We start from the raw sequence: 7,869 nt of genomic DNA, 5'->3' as shown, positions 1-7,869 counted from the left end.
ACCAGTTTGTAAATTCCAAGTTTCTGGAAAAAGTTACCCACTTTTTAGTTTGAACATTTAAGTTTAATTTTTTAAAAACTGAAACAATACATATTTTGGACACTATATTCTTCATCTGGATTCACCAATTGTTTACAAACACATTTAAATATACAGCCATCCCCCAGTATACACAGGGAGATTGGTTCCAAGATACACACATACCAAAATCTGCACCATATTCAAGTCCCAAGGTCACCCCTGCAGAACCTGCGTATATGAAAATCAGCCTTCTATATATGTGGGTTTTGCATCTTACAAATGCAGTATTTTCTATCCTTATTTGGTTGAAAAAATCCACGTGAAAGTGGACCCACACAGTTCAAGCCCGCATTGTTCAAAGGTCAACTGTACTTTATTCTGTCTGCCGAAACATTTTCAGGTGAGGTGTTATATCACCACTTCTAAATACTTGAGCATACATCTCCTAAGAATCAGGACATTCTCCTATGTGACATGGTTTTCACATGTCCATTTTTTTTTTTAATGAACTGTCTACTTTTTAATGCTGGTATGGGCTACTCTCTTAATTCTTGGTTGAAACTCTTGGGGCTGGGCATGGTGGCTCACACCAGTAATTCAAGAAGTTGAAGTGAGAGGATGGCTTAAGGCCAGGAGTTTGAGACCAGCCTGGGCAACATAGTGAGACCCTGTCTCTATGAAAAAAGAAACACTTGGGTGTTTTCACAGACCTATGATAAGATAAAATACATCTCTCCAGCAGATGTCAAATATAGCAAAACTTGCTCTTAGAGCAGAGTATCATTACCTGGATGTGGAGTGACCAGGGCTTAGTCTTTTTTTTTTTTTTTTTTTTTTTTTGAGACAGAGTTTCACTCTTGTTGCCCAGGCTGGAGCGCAATGGCATGATCTCAGCTCACTGCAACCTCCATCTCCTGGGTTCAAGCGATTCTCCTGCCTCAGCCTCCCAGTAGCTGGGATTACAGGCATACGCCACCACGACCAGCTATTTTTCTATTTTTAGTAGAGACGGGGGTGTCTCCATGTTGGTCAGGCTGGTCTCGAACTCCTGACCTCAGGTGATCTGCCTGACTCGGCCTCCCAAAGTGCTGAGATTACAGGCGTGAGCCACCACGCCCAGCCAGGGCTTAGTCTTTGATAAGTCAAAGATCTCAGCTTTACCACCTAATACTTAGAAACAGTTACCTTTATGTTACAGGCTTTGTTCCCTAAAGTGCTTTTTCTCAAGACTTCAGATTTAACCCCTAAAAGAGGTGATGCCTTTGGTGCACTCGGTGACCCACGTCTCCTTTGGTGTCACCTCTTCATTAGCACTGTTCAGCTTTTCCATTTCTGCTGCTGGTCTTAGAACTAGGGAAGCTGAAGGCTCCACCAGGTGAGCCTGGAGTGTTTCATCAGGATTCTTCCTCACTGCCTTCACTGCTCCAGACACTGAAAAATAAAGGCCTGACTATTCCATCCTTGCTGAGACAGAAGCACCTGCTGTCACTTAAGGCCTGTGTGCTGCTATCAAACCCACCTCATGGAGGGGGACAGTTGTGGGGGCATTTTTCTAAGCATTTCCCAAGAGTGAAGAAGAGGGATTGAAAATGACAGTGACTTAAAACTTGGAATTTCTCCCTGAGGGACCCAAACTTCCCTGGCCTGCCCTGAGGGTGGCCTGACCCAGGCTGTGATTGGAAATCTTACCCTGATGATTGCCCCCAAGCCGCAGGCAAACAGGATCCCCTCAAAATAAAAACATGAGGCTTGTAGCAAAGTGAATGGCTGTACTCTGACTAGTTCTTCACTGGAGGTAGAAGCAGCCCTGTAATTTTTGCTGTCTTCCACTGGGGAACAGATGGACTCTAGGAGACATTGAGGGCAGGGGCTCCACTCAGGTCCGCCACCCTTGCTCCCAGCTCTTCAGTAATTAATCTGTGGTGCTTTCTCATCCCCATGGCAACAGGTCCTAGTGTTACACAGAGCACAAACACACGCAGGTCTGTCCCCACGTTTTTTTGTCCATCAAGCTTTGCCTCCTAGCAACTTGGCTCTCTTCCCTCATTGTTTGCTCTTGATCCAGCAGGCCTCTCCCTAGGGGAGGGGCTTCCCCTGCAACTGCTCTTGTGTGACCTTGAACAAGAACCTCCCTCTTTCTGGGCCTCCGTGCCTCATCTGCAAATTACTGAGATAGGACTTGTGGATCTTGAAGGTCTCCACTCCCATGTTATCAATCATTCTAAGTCACTTTTCCTCTAAACACATGCTCAAGTCCCAAGATACGGAACTTAACTCTAGTTCCCTGGTTCCAGTTTATAGAATTTTTTTAAGTGACCAATGCTCAGAATGCTTACTTCTTTCTATAAAGCTATATTTTATATATTTTTTTATTTATTTATTTTTTGAGACAGAGTCTCACTGTGTCACCCAGGGTGAGAGTGCAGTCATGTGATCTCGGCTCACTGCAACCTCCACCTCCCGGGTTCAAGCGATTCTCCTGCCTCAGCCTCCCGAGTAGCTGGGATTACAGGCATGCACCACCATGCCTGACTAATTTTGTATTTTTAGTAGAGACAGGGTTTCACCATGTTGGCCAGGCTGGTCTCGAACTCCTGACCTCAGGTGATCCACCCGCCTTGACCTCCCAAACTGCTGGGATTACAGGCGTAAGCCACCATGCCCGGCCTCTACAAAGCTTTAGAGTTAGATCATAGAGGTCACCTTGTCCATGATCTCGATTTGGCAGTGAGGATACTGAGCCCTAGAGAAGACTTGCTCAAGGCCACATAGCATGTCAGAAGCAGAGACAGGATGGAACCTGGGTATCTTGACTCCCTACCCAGTTCTCTTTCCGAGTACTCTGTCTTTAGTTTGAATAATTGACAGCATTTTGCAGGACTTTCTGCAGCAAATTTTCCAACCCTGCATCTATTAGGAACTGAGCCAAACAGCAGTGTGACATTCACACATACCCAACAGCAAAACCACCATGATCTGCCTCCTACCTGGACCCTAGTAGGTCTGTCTGAGCTGGACACCTCTGAGGGTCCCCATCCTTCATTGCTCTACGAGCAGAAACAAGCACCTGTGCAGGATGCAGGAGGCAGCAGAAAGAGACTAACATTCACAGCCCAAGCAAGTTACTTAATCTCTCTGAGCCTCAATTTCCTCATCTGTAATCTGAGCATAACATTACCTATTCAGAGTTGTGAGTGCCAGTTAAGAAAAACAGTGTCTGGCCAGGCACAGTGGCTCATGCCTGTAATTCCAACACTTTGGGAGGCCAAGATGGGCAGATAACTTTAGCCCAGGAGTTTGAAACCAGCCTGGGTAACATGGTAAAACTCTGTCTCTACAAAAAGTACAAAAATTAGCCAGACATAGCACCATGCACCTGTAGTCCCAGCCACTTGGGAGGCTGAGGTGGGAGGATCAATTGACCAGGAGGTTGAGGCTGCAGTGAACCGTGGTCACACCAGTGCACTCTAGCCTAAGCAACAGAACAAGAACCTGTCACACACACACATGCACACACACAAAAAAAAAAAAAAAAACGAAGGAAGAGGGGAGAGAGAGAGGAAAGGAAAGGGAGAAAGGAAAGAGGAGAGGAGAGGGGAGGGGAGGGGAGGACAGAGGAGGGGAGGGGATGGGATGGGTGGGTGTCTGGCACATAGTAGGTACTCAACAACTCAACAAACTTCCATTTCCCCCGCTCAACTCCCATTTCCAGGACTATACCATCAAAGCTCCACTGAGATTCTCATGGTGGGTGATCCTCAGCAAATTTTTTTTTAAACCAACACTGTCCCTATTTAGCAAATATTTAATTCCTCTCATCTCTCTGGATGCTTCTATCTTCTCTTCCTTAACAATACACTTGATGTATGTAAGTATAGCATTGCCCAAACTAAACAGAGTGCCCGTTAAATAGGGATTCCAAAATCAAGGAATTGGCTTTTCCAATTTTCTGATATTTGGGGGCATCTGCCTCTTGGAGGTAGTAATGGGATTGAGCTGCTATCTCTCATGCTTCTAAAGACTAGGGAAGCCTATGGCCGAGGCAGGAGAATTGCTTGAGCCCAGGAGTTCGAGACCTGGCAACATAGGGGGATCCCTTCTCTACAAAATTAGTCAAGCATGGTGGTGCACACATGTAGTCTCAGGTACTTGGGAGGCTTAGGTAGGAGGATTGCTTGAGCCTGGGAGGTGGAGGCTGCAGTGAGTTGTGATCACACTCCAGCCTGGGTGACAGAGCAAGACCCTGTCTCAAAAAAACAAAAACAAAAACAAAAAAAAGTGGAAACCAGGACTCCAACAGCCCCAGCTCTGCAACCCAGCCCTGCCCCTGGGCAACTGTACAACTTTGGGCAAAGGCACTTAACTTCCAGGAGCCTTGGTGGCATCCAGAAAATGAGAAGAAAACACCTACCTCCCTCCTCTTGCCACCGGGGCTGGAATAAGGATGACGTGAGGCAATGAGCTGAGGGGTCTGCAGTGGATTTCACTCTCAGTGTGTTTTAGGTGTGCCACTCCCCAACCCTGAGCTGGCCCCTGGCTCCCCTCCTTTCCTCCAGAAACCCCTTCATAACGCAGACAGTTGCAGGAGTGCCTGTGCCCACAGAGGCACTCTGCGGCCTCTACTACATCCTGGGTGTAGTCGAGGATGGCCGTGGGTAACAGCAAAGCAGAGAGAAGCTTCCTGGTCTTCCAGGCCTCCCCTTGGCCTCCCTTCTGTTGTCTCCCCACTCACAGGAATAGTTCTGAGACCCAGTTGTGACCAAGCTCCTCAGGCCACAGTGCTAAGCCTCTCCTCCTTCCTGGAATTCCCTAACCAACCCCCAAGTTCTGCCTATTCAAATCCTTTTCAACCCTCAAACTTTAGACTAAAGGCTCATCTCTTCCAGGAAGTCCTCCTGCTGGCCCCATCAGAGGAAGTCATTGTTTCTTCGGATTACCCAGCATTTAATCTCCAGACTTACGGCCCAGTAAACTGTCTTCATCTCTGTCCAGTGAACCACACTTCTCAAAAGACTCCCTCACATTCTTTTTTTCTTTTTTTTTTTTTTTTTTGAGACAGAATCTTGCTGTGTTGCCCAGCCTAGAGTGCAGCAGCGCAATCTCGGCTCACTGCAACCTCTGCCTCCCGGGTTCAAGCAATTCTCCTGTCTCAGCCTCCCAAGTAGCCAGGACTACAGGCGTTCACCACGATGCCCGGCTAATTTTTGTATTTTTAGTAGAGATGGGGTTTCGTCATGTTGGCCAGGCTGGTCTTGAACTTCTGACCTCAGGTGATCCACCCACCTCAGCCTCCCAAAGTGCTGGGATTACAGGCGTGAGCCACCGCACCCAGCTGACCCCCTTACATTCTTTTTTCTTTTTTTTTTTTTGAGACGGAGTCTTGCTCTGTCACCCAGGCTGGAGTGCAGTGACACGATCTCAGCTCACTGCAAGCTCCACCTCCCAGGTTCATGCCATTCTCCTGCCTCAGCCTCCCAAGTAGCTGAGACTACAGGCGCCCACCACCACGCCTGGCTAACTTTTTTGTATTTTTAGTAGAGATGGGGTTTCACTGTGTTAGCCAGGATGGTCTCGATCTCCTGACCTTGTGATCCACCTGCCTCGGCCTCCCAAAGTGCTGGGATTACAGGCATGAGCCACCACACCCGACCTCCCTTACATTCTTAAAAATTATGGAGAACCCCAAAGACCTTTGCTTTATGTGGGTTCTATCTATTAATATTTACCAAATTAATATTAAAGCCGAGAGAAATTTAAGTATTTTCTTACTAATTTTTAAACAATAAATTTTAATATAATGAACCCTTTACAAGCTAAAGTAAGACGGAGTCTCGCTCTGTCGCCCAGGCTGGAGTGCAGTGGCGCAACCTCGGCTCACTGCAAGCTCCGCCTCCCGAGTTCACGCCATTCTCGGGCCTTAGCCTCCCAAGGAGCTAGGACTACAGGCGCCCACCACCACGCCCGGCTAATTTGTTTTGTACTTTTAGTAGAGACAGTTTTCACCGTGTTAGCCAGGATGGTCTCGATCTCCTGACCTCATGATCCGCCCACCTCGGCCTCCCAAAGTGCTGGGATTACAGGCGTGAGCCACCATGCCTGGCCAATAATGTTTTTAAACCATATAATCCCATCACTTTGGGAGGCTGCGGTAGGAGGATTACTTGAGTCCAGGAGTTTGAGACCAGCCTGGCCAACATAGTGAGACCCCATCTCTACTAAAACTGTAAATTAAAAAAAATTAAAAAAAAATTTTAAAAAACCTCCTATATTTTCTGAAACAAAAAAAAATTTAGTAAGAATGGGCCGGGCGCAGTGGCTCACTCCTGTAATCCCAGCACTTTGGGAGGCTGAGGCAGGTGGATCACCTGAGGTCAGGAGTTCAAGACCAGCCTGACCAACATGGAGAAACCCTATCTCTACTAAAAATACAAAATTAGCTGGGCATGGTGGCACACGCCTGTAATCCCAGCTATTCAGGAGGCTGAGGTGTGAGAATCCCTTGAACTCGGGAGGTGGAGGTTGTGGTGAGCTGAGATCTCGCCATTGCACTCCAGCCTGGGCAACAAGAGCGAAACTCCGTCTCAAAAAAAAAAAATTAGTAAGAATGGCAGTGTGGCTTTATATTTGTGCAAATCTCTTTAGCATCTGGCTTAATAGAAGGCAGCTGGACTCGCGTCTCCTTCAGCATTCACCCCAATGTCATATCACATGTCACGGAGCGTCTGGAAAACATGAATGAGTGTGAAAAAGGCACATCATGTCTTAGTGTTATTATGAGCCTAGTTCTAAGCTCTCAAGTCCTCTAAAAAAAGGCCCCGGGCCCCACTTTGAGAACTGTCACAGCAGAGCAGGGGCTCCTTGAGACGAGGGCACCTTGTCTCAGTCGGCTCCATGAGCCCAGTGCCTGGCCAGACCCCGGCACAGCAACCTCTCTCTCAATGATCACAGCGAACGAGCAGCTTCAGAGGAGCAGACCCAAGGGCGTGGCTCTCCCAGCTCATCATTCTCAAAGCTCAGCGCAGGGCCACTCTGTCCAGGAAGCTGCCCCTGTGGCCAGGCTCTTAACACACAGTGTGGCAGGAATCCTGCTCTGTCTTGATCCACCCAGAATGAGAAGTACTTTGTGGTCAGGGACTGTCTGATCCTCTCCAAGAGCACCTGTCCCTACAGCTCCCAAAAAGTCTCTTCCCTAAAGACCATGTACCATTAGACTTCCAAGGGTCTAGGAAACAGCTTGACCCCCTAGACAAAAGCAAACTAAGACCCTCCAGGGACGAATGGAGAAAAACTTGTGGGTGGAGGCATCTCCTTTCCTGAGTGCAAGGAGGGCAGCCTGTCCTCTTTGCTTCCATCCCCAAGGGGTTCCTCACTCTGCCCCCATGTCACTCTGATCCCTCTGCTCCCCCAGCATGCCTCAGCCCCAATGTGGGGTGAAAGAGGTACATCATAGAAAACGTGAGCCTAAGATCTATCCATTCCTAGGCTCAACTCTCATCTCTGTATCTTACCAGCTGTGTGACCTTGGGAAAGTGACATAACCTCTCAGAGGCCAGCACCAGCATTTGTAAAATGGTGACGCTACCTCATAGTTATGAAAGGAGAGAAACTGCATGTAGCCCTCTTGCCCAGACATTCTACAAATAGTAGCCAGAAATATGAGGCTCTCTCCCCACTTCCCTCCCTGCCAAACTCTCAGCCTAAGCATGGCTAACACAAAACAGATTACCAATCCCTTTCCTTTCTCCCTGAGGACAGCAGGGCTAGGCTGGGATTTTCCAAGAGGACTTCGCCCATGGAGAAACAGGCATGAAGTAATCTTGTTTGCAGGGTGTAGGTTTCCTACTGTGC

Source organism: Homo sapiens, chromosome 11 (genome assembly GCF_000001405.40).
Source record: "Homo sapiens chromosome 11, GRCh38.p14 Primary Assembly".
NCBI classification, from domain to species: Eukaryota; Metazoa; Chordata; class Mammalia; order Primates; family Hominidae; genus Homo; species Homo sapiens.
The sequence above is the reverse complement of the archived record's forward strand: the minus strand, read 5'-3'. Positions refer to the sequence as shown.